At 48.2% G+C, this 18,942-nt stretch overlaps 1 protein-coding gene across 24 annotated transcripts, besides 6 other annotated features; it reads right to left on the bottom strand.

Annotated features, from left to right (window-relative positions):
- On the bottom strand, nt 1,035–18,874 carry CNTROB (centrobin, centriole duplication and spindle assembly protein). 24 transcript variants are annotated; one of them, XM_017024129.2, is made up of 20 exons: nt 18,817–18,874; nt 17,606–18,027; nt 16,733–16,817; nt 16,409–16,490; nt 15,810–15,966; nt 14,473–14,589; nt 14,138–14,254; nt 13,693–13,791; nt 11,206–11,442; nt 10,713–10,859; nt 7,431–7,564; nt 6,707–6,832; nt 6,317–6,479; nt 4,969–5,227; nt 3,233–3,384; nt 2,976–3,039; nt 2,628–2,798; nt 2,270–2,468; nt 1,798–1,870; nt 1,035–1,570 (listed from the first exon to the last, which is right to left on the bottom strand). In XM_017024129.2, exons 2-20 carry the CDS (start codon nt 17,873–17,875, stop codon nt 1,445–1,447), a joined length of 2,778 nt encoding a protein of 925 aa, XP_016879618.1. In that variant the 5' UTR covers nt 17,876–18,027; nt 18,817–18,874; the 3' UTR covers nt 1,035–1,444. The 24 variants fall into 24 exon arrangements, with proteins under 24 accessions (XP_016879618.1, XP_047291260.1, NP_001340133.1 ...); XM_047435304.1 differs by having other exon boundaries at nt 1,818–1,870; nt 2,336–2,468; NM_001353204.2 differs by lacking the exon at nt 18,817–18,874 and adding an exon at nt 18,155–18,749 and having other exon boundaries at nt 2,336–2,468; nt 14,473–14,717; nt 16,729–16,817.
- Nucleotides 17,701–17,878: a silencer, noted in NCBI's record as "fragment chr17:7836395-7836572 (GRCh37/hg19 assembly coordinates)". NCBI's record gives its function as "represses an EF-1alpha promoter that drives an FKBP-Casp9 reporter gene in an ReSE screen in K562 erythroleukemia cells {active_cell/tissue: K562}" and the evidence as "EXISTENCE:reporter gene assay evidence [ECO:0000049][PMID:32094911]".
- Nucleotides 17,701–17,935: a biological region, named in NCBI's record as "ReSE screen-validated silencer GRCh37_chr17:7836395-7836572".
- Nucleotides 17,806–17,935: an enhancer, noted in NCBI's record as "active region_11658". NCBI's record gives its function as "activates an Ori minimal core promoter by ATAC-STARR-seq in GM12878 lymphoblastoid cells {active_cell/tissue: GM12878}" and the evidence as "EXISTENCE:reporter gene assay evidence [ECO:0000049][PMID:35858748]".
- Nucleotides 18,066–18,355: an enhancer, noted in NCBI's record as "active region_11657". NCBI's record gives its function as "activates an Ori minimal core promoter by ATAC-STARR-seq in GM12878 lymphoblastoid cells {active_cell/tissue: GM12878}" and the evidence as "EXISTENCE:reporter gene assay evidence [ECO:0000049][PMID:35858748]".
- Nucleotides 18,386–18,445: an enhancer, noted in NCBI's record as "active region_11656". NCBI's record gives its function as "activates an Ori minimal core promoter by ATAC-STARR-seq in GM12878 lymphoblastoid cells {active_cell/tissue: GM12878}" and the evidence as "EXISTENCE:reporter gene assay evidence [ECO:0000049][PMID:35858748]".
- Nucleotides 18,666–18,715: an enhancer, noted in NCBI's record as "active region_11655". NCBI's record gives its function as "activates an Ori minimal core promoter by ATAC-STARR-seq in GM12878 lymphoblastoid cells {active_cell/tissue: GM12878}" and the evidence as "EXISTENCE:reporter gene assay evidence [ECO:0000049][PMID:35858748]".

Here is an 18,942-nt window from a genome sequence, read left to right as displayed (position 1 = left end):
GGGAGTCTGCAGTATCTGTTGTTCCCAAGTCTATGTTCACATGTGCTCAATGTTTACTCCCACTTAGGAGAACATGTAGTATGAGGTTTTCTGTTCCTGCACTAACGCGCTTAATTAAGATTATAGCCTTCAGCTCCATCCATGTTGCTACAAAGGACATTATTTCATTCTTTTTCATGGCTGTGTGGTATTCCATGGTGTATATGTACATTTTCTTTATCCAATCCACCCCTGATGGGCATCTAGGTTGATTCTATGTCTTTGCTATTAAGAACAGTGTGGTAATGAACATATAAATGCATGTATCTTGTTGGAATAATGACCTATTTTCCTTTGGGTATATATCCAGTGATGTGATCGCTGGGTGAAATGGTAACTCTTAAGTTTTATGAGAAATCTCTAAACTGCTTTCCATAGTGGCGGAACTTACATTCCCACTGACAGCTATATAAGCATTCCCTTTTCTCTGCAGCCTCGCCAGCATGTTGTTTTTTGACTTTTTAATAATAGTCATTCTGATAGGTATGAGATGGTATCTCATTGTGGGGTTTTGCATTAAATTGATTTGCATTTCTCTGATGATTATTAACGAGCATTTTTTCAAATGTTTGTTGGCTGCTTGCATGTCTTCTTTTGCGAAGTGTCTGTTCAGGTCCTCTGCCCATTTTTTAATGGAGGTATTTGTTTTTTGTTTGTTGATTTAAGTTCCTAATAGATTCTGGATGTTAGACCTTTGTCAAATGCATAGTTTGAGAATATTTTCTCCCATTCTGTAGGCTGTCTGTTTACTCTGTCGACAGTCTCTTTTGCTGTGCAGAAACTCTTTTGTTTAATTAGGACCCAGCACTCTAGTCTTTTACACGTTTTAAAGCTGTAAGCGTGAAGACTATAGCAACAATATGTCTGCTGGCTGGAGTAGAATCTGCCAATCTGAATCCTACAAATGCAACCTGAAAGAATTATTTTCCCTTAGAAAACTTTCTCCCCAACAACCAAATTTTAACTCAAACTCTTTATACAATAACTTACTCTTATTAAAGTTTGGGTCTGTTCTGATTATTAAAGTAACATATACTTGTTTTAGAAAATTTGGAAAATACAGAAACGTATTAAAAAACTAAGAATCACCCATAATTCCACTACCACCCAGAGTTCATTGCTCTGCAGGTTTTAGCTTTGTCCACTGAATCTTAGCCGCCCCAACTTTCCAAATCTTGTCATAGACCGTCTTCCAAAGCATTCATGTCTTTTCCCACAGGAAATGACATATAAACATGTAACATATAAAAAAAGTACTCAACCAAATGTGGTTTCTTTACGAAGTGATTCCCTACAAAACCTCTATTTTCCAAATTCCTATGAGCCAGAGACTCTGATACAGACTAATGAGCATTTATTAAAATAACAACAATGAGAGAACAAAGAGGAGAGAGGGTAGGGGGGCTCATCTCCAGACTCCCCCCCGGCTCCTCATGCTACTCGGGGCAGGGTGCCCACTTTTCTTCCGTGCGGGAGGTTTTTCAGTCTTGGGGGCTGTAGCAAGGCGGCGAGGGACAGCCTGGGAGGGAATCTGAGAGTTGAGGGAAGAGAGAGGAAGAAATCAGCGTCAGATCCTCTCAATTCCCCACCCCACTGAGGAAATGCACGTGGAGAGGGCCAGATGAGTCTGCAGGGAGGAAAGGCCATGCTACAGAATGCAGGGGTGGAATGGAGGGGCCAGCCAGGAGTGTGCAGAGGTGAAGGAGCTGGTCAGTGAGAGCCCTTTTCTCCCCTGGTCCCTGCCTGACTTTCCCTCACCTCTTTCCGGGGGATCTCACCCAAGCGGGAGTCTGTGTTCCTTCTGGGGACATTATCCCCTCGGCCATCAGTCCTGCTACACAAATCAAAGGTATGAGGATGGGGATCTCCGTCCCCCCGGTTACCCAATACTGGATGGAAGAACTACTCCCCAATTCTATCTCTTAAGAATAAGATCAAACTCGATAGACCTGGGCATCAACTGGGAGGAGACATTAGTGGAAGTAAATAACGAGTTACACTAGCTAGTCAAAAGTCTAGGATTCTGAGTTTTGAGCTGAGGGGTAAAGAGGAAAAAAACGAAGGTAGAGAGACCCGGGGAAAAGATTTTTTTGTTTAGAAGAAAAAAGCAATAGAAAGGAGGAGATAAAAGAAAAGTGTGGGGCAGTTAGAGAAGATCTGTGGATCCACCTCTCATCCTTCACTTTCCTCCCCAGAAAAGGACAACGATTCAATTCAGTGTAAAACACACCCACTCCACTCCCCATAATCCAGCTTCCACCCGGAGAATCCTTCCTCCTTCCTCCCAGGCTTGTACCCGCTGTGTTCCAGCCTCTTCAGGTAGAGCAGGAGATCCTCAGCAGGCAGAGCCCCCCAGCCCCGAGCCTGGTAGAGTCGCAACAGTTGAGACACCTCCATCAGCTGCCTTGGGAATGTAAGCCCATCTCCACCTGACAGACATCGCAATAATCACAGGCGTCATCCTAGGGCCTGTCTCCCCAGCCCTCAGCCCATTTCCCCAGGAATTCAGAAGGACTGTAAGTGCCTGTACTGGATCCACACTCAGGACTGTCCCTCCTTTTTTCCCTAATAAACCAGAACATGCTCACCTCTCTCTGGGGAACCACTGCTGGGACCACTGCCTTGTGAATGGGAGGAGGGAGGCTCAGGGACCCGGAAAAGACTGGATGCCATGGCTAAGGGAACTTTGGTTTTGTGGACAGGCGGTGGAATACGTGGCACTTGAGGGGCTTCCTCCCAAGATGGGACAGTCAGAGGACCTAGCAAAAGGAAAGAATGCCAAGAATCAGGAAATGGGGCATAGAACCAAGGAAGTCCCACCACCCAGCATTTATAAGGCTTTATTACTTTTGCCAGCTCCTAAAAATTCATCCTAGATAACCAACTCCGATCTTTCCTAGGCCCCAGCCCCAACCTTCTTCAGAGTTGGAACTCACCAGACTTAGGGGGCAACAGGTCGACAGAAGGGTTCTCATTGTTCTGGGGCACTGTCTCCAGCAACTGTGGGTGAATAAGATTGTCAAGTTCCCTAGGGACTGATAGAGAAAAACGCCCAGGGATCTGAGAGAAGAAGCTGGGACAAAGAGTTAGTCATAAACAGGGAATGAGGCCAGAGTCCTGGATTCCCAGAGCAGAAAGAGGAAAGGAGAAAGGGAAGAAGAAAGTGAGCTAGTCTGGGTGGAATCTCTCTTACCTGGTGCAAAAAATTCTTGAGGCCCTCCAGCTGAGCAGGCGGCAGCCCTTGCTTTAGGAGGCCCTCCCCGTCAGGTCCAGGATCTTCCTCAGGGAATGGCCTTTCTGCCCTATGATCGGGATGGAAGGCCCCAAGTGCAGAGAAGGCCCCAGCTATAAAGTGAAACAGGTATGGGTGGGTGCAAGTGTGTTCAGGGGGGAAGGGGCTTCTCCACAAATCAACTCACCTAATACTCAGAAGAAAGGGGCCTATTAAATGGAAGAGGAACATCACAGCTAAGAGAAGATGAAGATGGAGGTTTAAAGTAGCTGGAGAGGGAAGGGTTGGAGGTGACTGAGAGATGGCACAGCTGAATTCTAAGACAGAAATATAGACAGAAGAAAGCTGTGGTACTCAAACTCTAAACAAATAAATACCCTCACAAACTCCCTGAAGAATGGAAATGAGTAACACACATGTTCTGACCTCTTCCCCCGAATATGCCTCATTCTTTTATTATTCTCACATAATTAAAAAATTTTTAATTGTGCTACAACTAATCTCTCTTTTTTTTTTTTTTTTTGAGATGGAGTCTCGCTCTGTCGCCCAGGCTGAAGTGCAGCGGCGCGATCTCGGCTCACTGCAAGCTCCGCCTCCCGGGTTCACACCATTCTCCTGCCTCAGCCTCCCGAGTAGCTGGGACTACAGATGCCTGCCACCACGCCCGGCTAACTTTTTTGTATTTTTAGTAGAGACGGGGTTTCACTGTGTTAGCCAGGATGGTCTCGATATCCTGACCTTGTGATCTGCCCGCCTCGGCCTCCCAAAGTACTGGGATTACAGGCGTGAGCTGTAATCTCTTTTTTTTTTTTTTAAGAGACAGAGTCTTGCTGTGTTGCCCAGGCTAGAGTACAATGGCAACTTCTTAGCTCACTGTAGCCCCAAACTCCTTGGCTCAAGCAATCCTTCTGTCTCAGCCTCCCTGGGTAGCTGGAAATTTGGGTGTGTGCCACCACATCCTGCTAACTTTTTATTTTGTGTAGAGATGAGGTCTCACTATATGGGTCAGACTGGTCTGGAACTCCTGGCACCAAGCCATCCTCCCACCTCAGCCTCCCAACGCGCTAGCATTACAGGCGTGAGCCACTGCACCCGGCCCCATCCCTCATTTTTAATTCGACCTAGGTTGTCATGTTTGTACCACACAGAATGCCCCCATCCACTCAAATCACAGGTGACATTAAACTAGGGGTGGACACCACACCCAAGGTCAGCCAATCCAATCAGATGGCCTCTTTAAACTGGACCTAAAAAAACTGAGACACCGATGTCTCTATAAATGTCTAGAGGCTCAGCTAGAGTCAGTATCACAGCTGGTCAAACCCATGTGTAAACTGAAGTTATGAAGGGTGAGAACCTTGAATGCTGGTCTAGCAAGAAAAAAGAGCAGATGTGCAGGAGAGGTGGACCCAGGAGGCTATGCAGGCCCACAGAAAAGGGCCAGCTAGCTGCCTCAGTTCCTGATAGTACCCCGTTCCCAACTCCAGTTCTCATTAAGTCCAGCGATGTCATATTTCCATGAGATCTCAATCCCTTTATTTGGACCAATGTGAGCAGATTTCTGCTCCTTGCAACTTGCGATCACTAAAGGCATCTGGGAAACTAAATGCTCAAGTATCAGACAGAAAGCAGGGTACGAAAGAGGGAGCCAATTCATGCACAGAAGGGGAACCCCAGTGACTTCTGCCCCCAGTTACCTGTGGATGAAGTGAGGTCTGGTTTGGGCTCCAGGGGCTGGAAAGAATGCTGGCTCTGAAAAGAGGGGCCCAACAGGAGGCTAAGATCTGAGGAGGAACTGCAAAGAACAGGAGGCGCTCCAGGTAGCTCGTCCCTTGCTTCCCGGCTCTGCTGCAATACAGGCTTCAGGGCCACGGCCATGGGAGGCATAGTCCAGACCCTCCTCTCCTCCTTCTCGGGCTCCTGAGGCCCGGGGCTGGAGGGTCCAGCAGGAGGAGCCTGACCAGGAGAGAGGCAGAAAGAAGGGTCAAAGCACAGTAGGTTTAAAGAGATAAGACATGGTACAAACACTTTAATAAGATTATAAATTTCCGGATGCAGTGGCTCACACCTGTAATCCCAACACTTTGGGAGGACCGTTTGAGGCTGGCAGTTTGAACCAGGCTTGGCAACATAGAGAGATGCCATCTCTACAAAAAATTTAAAAATTAGCTGGGGGCAATGGCACGTGTGTGTAGTCCCAGCTACTCAGGAAGCTGAGGAAGGAAGATTGCTTGAGCGCTCTGGGCAACAGAGTGAGACCTTGTCTCAAATAAATAAATGATAAGTATATAAATAAATAAAATTAAAATTAAAATATCCTAATTTTTTCTTCTTTTTCTTTTTTTGAGATGAGGTCTCACTATGTTGCCTAGGCTAGTCTTGAACTCCTGAGCTCAAGTGATCCTTCTGCTTTAGCCTCCCATATAGCTGAGATTACAGGCGCACCACCACACCTGCTAGAATTTCATAATTAAAAGAAGGAAGTGGGAAGTATCAACGTATGAAGGGCTAGGAAGTGAGACTCCCTACTCTACTCTGGGGCAGGACTTGGCAACAATTTTTGGCCCTTTCCCTCATAATTAATTCAGCTGTCCCTCCACAAAACTAGTACCACGTATCATTTGTCCCCTCTTGGGACTGGGAGACTAGAGTTATGCCCAATGGAATGGGGCCAGTCTGAGTGAGCTATGGCCATGGAAAAAAGGATTTATTTTGCTGAGGCAGTTATTATTTGTAAAGTCCACCGATTTTTCTCCCCTGATGTAGGCCTTAGGAGCTGAACTTAGTACTTCCCTTGGGAGGGAGCTAGATTTCCAAAGAAGGAATCTAGAACACAGTTCTTGCTGGGCATGGTAGCTTATGCCTGGAATCCCAGCACTTTGGGAGTTAGAGGTGGGAGGATCACTTGAGCCCAGGAGTTCGAGGCTGCAATGAGCTATGATCTCACCAGTACACTCCAGCCTGGGCAAGAGTGAGACCCTGTCTCAAAAATAAAAATAAAAATAGAACATAACGGAGAAGCTTAGCTCAAGGGGTAAGGCGTACTGGAGGGTTGGGCGGCGGGAGAGTGGTGCTGAGCAGCTGGTTGGCCTCATCCCAGTGGGCCTGCAGCATGGCCTGCAGTCTTTCCACCAGCTCCACCCGCTGCTCCTCCAGCTGCTGGTTCCCACTCTGCAGTTCGCACACTCGCGCTTGCTCCCGGGCCAGTCTGAAGCAAAGAGAGAAGAAGTGACTCAGGGCCTTTAAGGAAGCAGATACTTGGGAGCTAAAAAGAGCCAGAAGGGAAATGTTGGACATCTGATATTCTGAAAGGAGCTGGGGCCCATGTAGAGGAGGACAGATCAATCAAGGGAGCAGCTCTTCACCGTTCCCAGTTTGGGCTCTACCCATGGGAAAGGGGCTGGGGCCTGAAAGGGGCACTCTGGGGACCAGGACCTGAGCTCGTAGTCCTCAGCCACCTGCTGTTGCCGTTCCTCTCGTTCTGCCATTTCCACCTTGAACTGAGCTAGCTGACTGGCCAGCTCCTGCTGGTGCTGTCCACTCAGGTCCTGCAGCTGCTTCCTACAGGGCACAGGTAGGAGAAGAGGCCTGAGACTGGAGACAGAAGAAGTGACCAACTGAGAAAAAGACATCATGTGTGCACATGACAGTGACCCAGATAGCCAGTCAGCTAGCCTGGCCATGGCACAGGAAGCGGCAAGGACAAAGCTGGGGTCTTAGGATGGGTTCCTCAGAAGCAGAGACTTAAATAAATTTATTTCGGAAGCAGTTCCAGAAAATCTCGGCAGCAGAATGGGTGTGAGGAGAAGTGAGGCCAGGCTGCGAGGAGGCTCAGTCCGACAGAGCAGCTCTGGAGACAGCACAGGTCATACCTCAGCACTGTCCCAGTGAGGGAGCTGGACCATCTATCATTCTGCACCCATCAGTTCTTGGTTAAGGGCTACTCCCTATGGGATGAAAATTCCCAGGCACTTCTGGCTCTCCATGAACGCGTGAAGGCAGCCCTCCCGAGAGAGACTCAGGTCCCAGCTGATGGGAGTTAGCGCACCCTGGGAGTCACAGTGCTGGACCATGGCAAAGGGATTGAAGGGAACACAGGCCTGGCACTAACGATACGTGCTGTGGCTGAGAGAAGTGACACCCAGTGAGTCCCACGTACCTGTGATGTTCCCTGAGGGAGGCTGCTTGCCGTAGGCTGCTCTCCTGAGCCTGCGCCAGCCGCTCTGTCACCCGCTGCTCCAGCTGCACAGCCAGCTCCGACTCCAGCTGGATCCGCTGGCTTTCATACCGGGCCTGGAGTGAAGGAAGGTGGGATAACGGCCCAAATCTGTTTGGGCTTAGAAGAGGATGGAGGATATAATGTAGACAAAATCCAGTACCAACTTTCCCCTCATATGAGATGAAGAACAAGAATTTTGCCTCAAGGAGTGAAAGAGGTTCCCTTTCCTTATTAAGATATTCGCACTTTAAACATACATCAAAGTGAAAATGACTATGGGTGAAAGACATAAATTTCTTAGCTAAAATAAATGTTCGACAGAGCAATCAAATCCATTCTACGTGTCTGATATAACATACCCTGAGGCTGGGCGCGGTGGCTCACGCCTGTAATCCTAGCACTTTGGGAGGCCGAGACGGGCGGATCACGAGGTCAGGAGATCGAGACCATCTTGGCTAACACGGTGAAACCCCGTTTCTACTAAAAATACAAAAAATTAGCCGGGCGTGTTGGCGGGCGCCTGTAGTCCCAGCTACTTGGGAGGCTGAGGCAGGAGAATGGCATGAACCTGGGAGGCGGAGCTTGCAGTGAGCCGAGATCGCGCCACTGCACTCCAACCTGGGAGACACAGCGAGACTCCGTCTCAAAAAAAAAAAAAAAAAAAAAAAAAAAAAAAATACCCTGAGTAGAGTACCTGAAAGCCAGTAGACATTCAATAAATGGCAGTGCCTCTTCCTCCTTAAGCAGTCAACCTATAAGTGTCTCCATTTTCTCAGCCACAGTCCTTCAACTCACTAAAATCTGATTTCCACGTATAGTATTTTACTATAAAGAACTCAACCTCTTTTTTTTTTTTTTTTTTTTTTTTGAGATGGAGTCCCTCTCTGTCACCCAGGCTGGAGTGCAGTGGCGCGATCTCGGCTCACTGCAACCTCTGCCTCCCGGGTTCAAGCAATTCTCCTGCATCAGCCTCCCAAGTAGCTGCAACTACAGGTGCGTGCCACCACGCCCAGCTAATTTTTTGTATTTTTAGTAGAGACGGGGTTTCACCGTGTTAGCCAGGATGGTCTCAATCTCCTGACCTCGTGATCCACCCGCCTCAGTCTCCCAAAGAGATTACAGGTGTGAGCCACCGCGCATGGCCCAAAGAACTCAATTTCTAAATCCAAATAGTGGTTATTTCTCAGCCCCTACTTCTGAGACAGAGTCTTGTTCTGTTGCTTAGCCTAAAGTGCAGTGGTGTGATCATGGCTCACTGCAGTCTTGACCTCCCAGACTCAAGAGATCCTCCCACCTCAGCCTCCAGAGTAGCTGGGACTACAAGCTGGTGCCACAACACCCAGCTAATATTTTTATTTTTTGTAGAGATGGGGTCTCATTATGTTGCCCAGACTGGTCTCAAACTCTTGGACTCAAGCAATCCTCCCACTTCAGCCTCCCAAAGTGCTGGGATTACAGGCGTGAGCCACCACACCTGGCCCTTTCTGTCTTTTTTTTTTTTGAGACTCGGTCTCGCTCCTGTCACCCAGGCTGGAGTGCAGTGGTGTGATCACGGGTCACTGCAGCCTCTACTTCCAGGGTTCAGTTGATCCTCCCACCTCAGCCTCCCGAGTAGCTGGGACTACAGGTGCATGCCACTATACCCGGCTAAGTTTTTGTATTTTTAGCAGAGTTTAGGTACTGCCATATTGCGCCCAGGTTGGTCTTGAACTCCTGGGCTCAAGCAATCTGCCCGTTTCGGCCTCCCAAAGTGCTGGGATTCCAGGTGCGAGCCACCACACCCGGATGCTTTCTTAGTCTTTATCGCATGTGATCTCATTGTAACACCTGAAGCCCTAGGTCAATTCTTTTTTTTTTTTTTTTTTTGAGATGGAGTCTCACTCTGTTGCCCAGGCTGGAGTACACTGGTTCAATCTGGGCTCACTGCAACCTCCACCTCCCGGGTTCAAGCGATTCTCCTGCCTCGGCCTTCTTAGTAGCCGGGACTACAGGTGTGCACCATACACCTGGATAATTTTTGTATTTTTAGTAGAGACAGGGTTTCACCATGTTGGCCGGGCTGGTCTCAAACTCCTGGGCTCAAGTGATCCACCCGCCTTGGCCTCCCACAGTGCTGGGATTACAGGCATGAGCCACCATACCGGGCCAAAGGATTGTGGTTCTCAAATGCTGGCCTCACTGGTACCTCCTTAAGTTAACCATTTATAAGGAACATAGCCTCTCAGACTGGCTTGCACCTGGAAAATTCATCAATTTGTCCTTACACATTTTATACATAAAAACAGAGGCCCATAAAGGTCAAAATTCTAGCTAGAAGTAGACGTAAGTGCCCTAAGTCCTAATGCAATACTCTTTCCTCTTCAACGCTGTGTCTCCCCCATGGGCTGGAACACAGCTCTCTCCAATCCTTTCCTCTATTCTGGAGATCGGCGAACTACAGCCCAATTCAGCCCTCCATTGCCTGTTTAGATAAGTTGTACTAGAACACAGCTGTGCCCATTTGTTTACGTACAGTTTATAGCTACTTCTGTGGTATAACAGCAGAGTTGGGTAGTTGCAACTGAGACCATACAACCCACAAAGCTAAAAATATTTACTGTCTGGCCCTTTACAGAAAAAGTTCGCCAACTCCTGCTCTATTCCATGGCAAGAGTCCGACTAGTTTGAATTTAAAATTCAGTGTGTTAGCTAGATGGAAAGAGTTTTTCAAAGTGTAATTATATCTGACAAACAATTTTTGAGTACAATTCTGTGCCAGGCCATGTGCTGTTATGGAAGTTTCATAAGTAAATTAAAAAATCATTGCCCTCCTGGGTCCCTGACCTACTCAGAGAAATTAATACAAGTTATTCAAGTAATGAGAATTACAAAGCACACTGTTACAATTGGAATCAAGTCTCTGACAAAAGCTTTCACCTGCTCTGTCAACCCACTAAGTGTGGTGTCATCTCTTAAAATAACATAAGGTATCTTTAATAGATTTAAATCTATTTAATCCTAAAAGTAACACTAGGTCAGTCTGACATATTGTGGGAAATGGTCACTCAGTAAGAAATAGCTCTGAGTTTAGGACAGAAAACTACCCATACTACATAGAAACTGTTAATGGAATTAAACCCCAAACACCTGAACTGGGAGTGTCTGCCACAACTCCTGAGAGGTCCCTCTGCCTCAGATCTACTTCTGTCAGAACAAAACCTCAAGAAACCTCTGCCTTCTGACCTGCACCAAGCTCATTTCCAGCTGCAGGGCATCTCTCTCTCTCCGAGCTGTATCCAGCTCTCCTTCCAGCCGCCGCACCTCAGACTGCACCAATGCCAACTGGTGCTGGGTCTCCCAGGCGGCCTGGGCTTCCCTCTGGCTCTTCTCCTATGAAAGACAAATCAAATGTATATACATACCTCATTTCTTATCTCCTGGTTACCTACACTCCCCAGTTCATCCTCCCAAACCCTAAAATCCAAGCTTCCCCCAGCTCCTCCCATTTGTTTTATTTCCCCATCCCTGTTGAATTTCAGTCTTTGGCCTTTCACGTATTCATTACCCCCAGCCCTTCCTGCTGGCCCTATACTCTCAACCTTGTCTCCCACACATGGCTCTCTACTCTCCATTCCTGCCTATATGTATCCCCCATATTCTAACATTCCATCCCATTCAATTATTTTGCCCTTCATCTACTCCCTAGTTCCTCAGCTCTTCCAACTGCCACTTTTACCTTCTCCCTTTCCAGCTGAGCCTGGCTCTCCTCCTGCAGCGCCTGGTAGTGTTCCTTAAGCTGGTGCTCTTGCTGGGCCCAGGTCTGCCGTTCTTCTTCTAGGGCAGCCCGAAGAGTCTCCAACTCTCGATGCTCACTCAGTTGCCCAGCCCGAGCTGCATCCCGCTCTTCCTGCAGGACACAGCACCGCTGCTGTTCTGCCTCCAACCTCAGAGTCAGAGCTTGCCTTTCCTCCTCCTACAGCCGCAGAAGAAAACCAAGCTCCTTAGTAGGCTCTTCAGAGACCAGCGATCTGCCCTCTGACCCTCATACAAGGTGCCTGCTGAGAATTATGCTCATTAAAAACACAATAATTAGGCCGGGTGCGGTGGCTCACACCTGTAATCCCAGCATTTTGGGAGGCCAAGGCAGGCAGATTACCTGAGGTCAGGAGTTTGAGACCAGCCTGGTCCAACATGGTGAAACCCCATCTCTACTAAAAATACAAAAATTAGCCAGGCGTGGTGGTGGGTGCCTGTAATTCCAGCTACTTGGGAGGCAAAGGCAGGAGAATCGCTCTAACCTGGGAGGTGGAGGTTGCAGTGAGCTGGGATCACACAACTGCACTCCAGCCTAGGCGACATCGAGCAAGACTCCATCTCAAATAAAACCAAAAGAAACCCCACAATAGTTGACAGGCGCAGTGGCTCATGCCTGTAATCCCAGCACTTTGGGAGGCTGAGGCAGGCAGATCATCTGAGGTCAGGAGTTTGGGACCAGCCTGGCCAACATGGTGAAACCATGTCTCTACTAAAAATATAAAAATTAGCTGGGCATGGTGGTGCACACCTGTATTCCCAGCTACTCAGGAGGCTGAGGCAGGAGAATTGCTTGAACCTGGGAGGCGGAGGTTGCAGTGAGCCAAGATTGTGCCACTGAACCCTAGCCTGGGCAACAGAGCGAGACTCCATCTCAAAACAAACAAACACAATAGTTGACAAGCTCATAGGATTATAATATAGTAGATAAGAGTTCCTGTTCCAGAGCCAGGTAGACCTGGGTTCAAATCTCAGGTTCGAATCCTGGTTCTGGAATTTACTATGTGTTCTTAGGCATACATTCTTATCTGTAAACTGGAGATCATAACAGGGTCTGCCTTCTGAGCATTAAAGTAAAAAGCATATGTAAGGCATTTAGCACGGCATCAGGCACATAGTAAGTACTCAATACACAATAGTTACCACCATCATCGTCAAAAGAAATTCCACTAAGACTAGAATATCCAGCCTATAATCGTGAACCATCACCCATCATCATCAGGACTGTCAGATATAGCCTGTTAAGACTACAAGTACCAGCATGCATGTAGCAAGCATGCATTATGCATGCAACAAGTTCCAATCCCAGCTACTAATTCATATGGCTAATCACCTTATCATTTCAGCTCTAAGAGACTTGAGTGAAGTGGCTGGGTATGGTGGCTTATGCCTGTAATCCCAGCACTTTGGGAGGCCAAGGCGGGCAGATCACTTGAGGTCAGGAGTTTGAGACCAGCCTGGCCAACATGGCGAAACCCCGTCTCTACCAAAAAAATACAAAAATTAGCTAGGCGTGGTGGTATACGCCTGTAGTCCCAGCTACTTGGGAGGCTAAGGTGGGAGAATCGCTAGAATCCAGGGGGCAGAGGCTGCAGTGAGCTGAGATTGTGCCACTGCACTCCAGCCTGGACAACAGAGCGCGACCCTGTCTCAAAAAAAAAAAAAAAAAAACACGAAAAGAAACTTGAGTTAGTCAATTTCATACCTTTTTTGGCCATGCCCTACACCAGAGGTCCCAAACCAGATTGAAAAAAATCACCCAGGAAATTTCTGAAAAGATTTGAGTTCCACCATATATCTACTGAATCAAAACCTCTGCAGGTGAGTCCCAGAAATCTTTATTTTATTTTATTTTTTATTTTTATTTTTTGAGATGGAGTCTCACTCTGTCACCCAGGCTGGAGTGCAGTGGCTTGATCTCAGCTCACTGCAACCTCTGCCTGCTGGGTTCAAGCAATTCTCCTGCCTCAGCCTCCCAAGTCGCTGGGACTACAGGCATGCACCACCATGTCCAGCTAGTTTTTTGTATTTTTAGTAGAGACGGGGTTTCACCATGCTGGCCAGGCTGGTCTCAAACTCCTGACCTCATGATCTGCCTGCCTTGGCCTCCCAAAGTGCTGGGATTACAGGGGTGAGCCACCGTGCCTAGCCTATATTTTAAAATAATTCTTCAGATGACACTAATATTCTAATGATGATACAATTTGCAGAGTTTCTCAAACCGACTTGGTAGCAGAGCCTTTTTTTTTAATAGAATATCTAGCTGAATTAGTGTTCTAAGGAACACACTTTGGGAAACAGTGCTCTGGTGCAACTCAAATTATAATCTCCCACAATCCACCAATAGCCCACAGCTCTCTAGAAGTAATTAACAGCTTCCAGTGGAATTAACCCAGTCCAATCTTCTCACCAGTGTCTCTCTTTCCCGTTGCTGCAGTCTGGCACTTTCCTGCTCACGATTCAGGGCCTCCATGGCCTCAGAAAGGCTTTGTTCCAGGCGGGTTACTGTCTTTCAGGAAGAGAGGAATACAGGGCAGAGGAACTGTGGGAAATCTGTGTGTGCTATATTTTATAAAGCATTGACAATGTAAACTTGAAACTTCACAGTTAACTAAATGACTAAGGGGCCAGATAGAAGACTACATGGTGTGGGAAAAATTAAGACATTGATGATTCAAGTTGGACAGCAGAAACGGTTAAAGGAGAAGAAAGGAGGGATGAGAAGAAATGTCAGGACAGCCACTACAAGACTGAGGTCAATCTGTTGGAAACCCTAATTCCAGAGCTATTTCTGCCCCTTTCCATCTTGAGATCTGTGACTCAGGTTCTAATGCCATATGCTCCAGGGCGCTCACCTCCTGCTGCTTGCTTCTGGTGAGCTCTGCTGCCTGGTGTTCCTCTTGAAGTCCCCTGAGAACCTCTGTCCGCTCAGCCTCATGCCGGTTCCAGCCCTCCACCACACGGGCCAGGGTCTTAGGTAGGGCAAGTAAGATGAAATTTCAAAATAACTTTTTTGCCTCTTTCTACCCACAGGGGCAGGGTCAACAGCCATCTTCTCCCAACAGTCAGCAAACCAACCCCTTGCCCAGCTCTCAGCATGTACCAAGAAACATTGGTTGGCCACCCACTTATTTATTATTCCTTAATGCTCTTCATGGAGAGACCCACCCACATTTTGCTACCCTGGTACCTTGTCCAGTTGTTCAATCATGGTATCTTTCTTGCGGTCGGCAGCCACAGCCACGGCTAATTGTTGCTGTAGCTCTAACACTCGGGTCTGCAGGCTCTGAATATGGCGCTCACAATGCTGGGGAAAAGGGTGAGGAGTCTGGGTGTTGCCCATCTTTGGTATGACCACAGCACCAAACTTTCCAGCTCCTCTAGTGGGGGAGTGGGCTGGAGCCAAGAAGCTTGGGTCCCAAGAACAGAATAGGTCTGGAGAGGGAGAATCAGGAAAATTCTGAAGCAAGCACCTTGAGGCTCAAGATCTCCAACATGTTTCTGTACCTTTTCAGGAGATAAGTGCTTAGATTCCAGGCTCCTCCTTTTCCTGGATCTCCTGAGTAAAAATCCCATAAACCTTTTGGCAGAGATGCAGCAGCCCACACAGCAAAATGTGCAAAGTTACTCCTACCTTCAGAAGCTCATTGGACACAATGAATAAACACAGCAAGGATAAAGGGGAAAGCCTTTCATTCATGCCAAGGGGTTTAACATGGAGAAAGAGAGGCTTCCAAAAATGGCAACCAGTGATTTTGACTTTTCCTCTCCTTTGTCTATTTCTCTGTCCCCTTCAGACACTAAGGCAGAGGCTCACAGAGATAAAGCTCAGTATATCACCAGTAGCTGTAAATCCTGTGCACAAGCTAGCAGAGTTTGTGTCCATTCGACAAACACAGAGTGTTTCTGTGTTATGTATATTCTAGACCTTAGGCAGCCAGTACTAAGACAAACAAGATACGGACCCTCAAATTTTAGAGAGGAGAAAAAAACAAGATATATCAGAACGATAAGCTACATGAAAGAAATAAGAAGGCGATCTGACTACTTGGAAAGGAGGTGGTGCCATATTAGATGGAATGGTCAAAAAAGCCCTCCTCAGAAAAACATTTAAGTCCCAGCTTTCAGGCTCTTAACCCTCAGCCCTTTTCTTTTTTAGTTTTTTTTTTTTGAGACGGAGTCTCGCTCTGTCGCCCAGGCTGGAGTGCAGCGGCATGATCTCGGCTCACTGCAAGCTCCGCCTCCCAGGTTCACGCCATTCTCCTGCCTCAGCCTCCCGAGTAGCTGGGACTACAGGCACCCACCACCATGCCCGGCTAATTTTTTCTATTTTTAGTAGAGACGGGTTTCACCGTGTTAGCCAGGATGGTCTCGATCTCCTGACCTCGTGATCCGCCTGCCTCAGCCTCCCAAAGTGCTGTGATTACAGGCGTGAGCCACCACGCCAGGCCCCCTCAGCCCTTTTCAACACTTGGGTCCCCTCTTTCTAATCTTTGCTGCTTTCGAAAGGAAGCGTTTGCATCTTACCTTGCGGCGGGTATGCTCTGAATCCAATGCATCTCTCAGCCCCTGAAAATCTGGGGGATTGAGTGGAGGCCCTGGCCGAAGGCTGGTGTAGCGGGGAAACAGCTCCTCCAGGGCTTGGGCTGAGCTAGATGGAGACAAGTCTTGCAGGGGCCGGGTGCTGAGCAAATCAGGTAGAGAATGTTAGGGCTGGGAAAGCTTTTGGAATCCACTTGTCCAACTGTGATATTCTACAAATGAGGAAACTGAGACCCAGAGAGGGCAAGAGACTTGTCCAAAGTCGTAAAGCTATATAACCATAGTGCTATAAATAACACACAGGTCTGTGATTCACTTAAAGGTTTCAGCAGAAACAAGCTAACTCTTTAGAGGGGAAGAATGACTGCAGGTTAAGAGAAAGCCAGGTACTAGGCAACAGATACCTGTGTTCCTGAAGGAGTAAAGGGGGCAGGAGACAGTAGAAAAAGATGAAAACTGAAAGGCAAGTGATAAGCCTCTTGGGTTCTTAAGAGGTACAAAAGCAATAAAGGGAGAAATAAGGAACAAAACACCTGGATTTCCAAGAAAGCAAACAAGCTAGGAGAACCACAAGGAGAACTCACTTGAGCAAGGTGGCTGTGCTATCACTGTCAAAGGAGTCCTCTTCCCGTCTCTCTGAGCCAGCGCCAGGAATGAGAGGATCCCCTGCAGGCAGCCAGAGGGACCCCAAAGCCAGAGTCAGGTAATGACAAAAACAGGGGCCACCTGAAGAGAAAAGGCCTTCCTTTCCAGTTCCCTCACTCCTTCACCCCCTCTCCCAAAGAACGGGAGACTTTTCTCCTGAAATCTCTTGCTCAGAGGTTTTCCTGCCTGCTTCCTCTGTCCACTTTCTCCCACCCCTTACATCTAGGTTCTCCTTCATAGTTCTAGGGAAGGGGCTTACTCACGATAGGCTGTATCACGTGAGGTTTGGAGCATGGTCTGGAGCTGACCCCGAACACTTTCCATCTCAAAGATATGCTTAGAACCATCCTGGAAAAAAGCCACATGGAAATCAGATGCAGTCTGTGTTATCTATCTCCTACCTATTGCCAGGGTAGAATTTTCACTCCAGCACTTTGGAAAACAAGAAAAACCAAACGGATCCAATAAGGGATGTCCTAAACTTGAATCAGAAATTCAAATACTACAGAAGCCAGAAAGAGAGTGTAAATAAAATAATCGAGGAGGTATAAGACAAGAGTTGCGGAGATTCTTGCCGATTCAAGAACAAATGTAAGGACTGTATGGCTTATGGCTATCATTTTCAAACTCTGGAAGACCTAACCAGTCTGCAAATTGACTCTGACACCTTTTCTATACAATACTAATAACTATCTTCTCTGTAACATGTTGTAGTTGACTAAGCTATGTCTTAATGATGTACATGCCAAAGTTGGAACCATACTATCAACATAGTGTTGAGCTGGAAGGATCGGAGCTGCTATCCTAAGTCCCTAGCTCCCTCTTGGGATCAAGAAACCTTACCCATTCCCAGTGCACGGGAAATAGCTCACCAACCTACCCCATAGGTTTGCTCTATCTACTCGGAGCAGAGATGTCTCTCACAAAAAAACACTGGGAAGTTTCATAATTTTCAAATTATGGTGTCCCAGGTCACTCCCTCCCTTATAAGCATGGCTGCCTATGCAGTTAAAAGGAATATGAAATCCAACAGGAAGAGTTCAAATCTCATCAAAGCTTTTTATTTTTACCAACCCCAATCCCAAGACTCTCTGGTGTCTAGTGCCACAGTGGTCTCCAAGACACACTTCCCTCACCTTTTTCTTCAAGTTCTTTTCCAATCCGACTGACAAGCTTCGACTCAATTCTTGGGCGAAGCCGTCTAACCCTTCATGAGGCGGGGAGGTGGAGGGTAAATACAGCTGGGCTCGGGCCGTGGCCTCCGCCTGCCGGCTGAGGCGCAAAGAAGCATAGAGCTGGGAGGTCACTTCAGACGACACTTGGTTGAGCCCAGGGGGTTCTGATGAATCACTCAGGAGATCCTCCGCCCCGAGGGGTGAACTGGGGCTGTCAGCTGATGTTGCCATGAATACAGGGAAGAGACAACCGGAGACAGCAAAGAGCTGGGAGGTTCTGCTTTAGCAAAGTCCAGGAGGAAAAGTTCACGGAGAAAGACTTGGGAGAAGGGAGGAAGACTCCACGCCAAGGATCCTTGGTGAATTAAGGATATCGAGGCTTTCTGGTTAGAGGAAAGGTTTCCACCAGTTCCAGGGGCCATGGGAGTGGGCAAAAGCATCCCTTTCCCCAGCTCCTGGGAACAGCGTTAAGAGGGTGCAGCGCAGAGCGGGTGCGGACAGAAGACCTACTGTGGGACAACAGCGCTGCTGAAGCTCCTCTTCCCGACTACGAGTGCTGGAAGCTGCAGATCAACTCCGGCACAGGCTATCCCCGGTCAACTGAGCTCTTAAGTTCTCACACCCAAAACGTCCCAACGGAAACGGACCCAAATCCACTAGGAGCCCAATTTCTGTCCCCCTGCCCTACTAGTCCCTCAATTGGTTCCAGTCTCAAGAGAGGGCGGAACCTCACGCTCCCCCATCCCTTCACCCGTTCTACCCAGGGTCAGCTCCAGCTCCCTTGTACTTTCCCTTCGACCCCTCCTGGCAAGAAAGCCATAGCGAGCTTCCTTGTTCCCTAGAATCTCTCCCTCCCGACCACCCCAAAAGAAACCTTGTGAACCCTCAGTCACGCCCTAAGTCGTCCCTAAGAAGCACGCCGCCCTCAAGCCTAGCCCGAGATCCTCTGCCCCGACGACCACCTGGTTCCGCCTACTCTCCACCCTTCCAGTCCTCAGTCCCCAATTTGCCAAAGTGGGGGGCAAGCGATTGACCTCCTCCCCTGAGATCCCCCTCTCACGCCTCCCCCTACGCTCAAAACCGTTGGCAGCCTCCCGCCCACTGTCCACGGCTCCGCCTCTCTCGCCTCGATGACGTCACCCGCCCGCGAGACCACGCTCGCAGACACTCACATCACTTCTGTATCCCGAGCGCCTGGCCGCGCGTGCGCGGCTCCGGTGGCCACAGATTGGCTGAGGGAGGGAGGCGGAGTCTGACAAGCAGCACTGGAGCGGAGTTAATGCCCAGCCGCGGCCGAG

The sequence above is a fragment of the Homo sapiens genome, chromosome 17 (genome assembly GCF_000001405.40).
Source record: "Homo sapiens chromosome 17, GRCh38.p14 Primary Assembly".
Lineage (NCBI taxonomy): Eukaryota > Metazoa > Chordata > Mammalia > Primates > Hominidae > Homo > Homo sapiens.
This window is presented reverse-complemented; position numbering and strand designations above follow the sequence as displayed.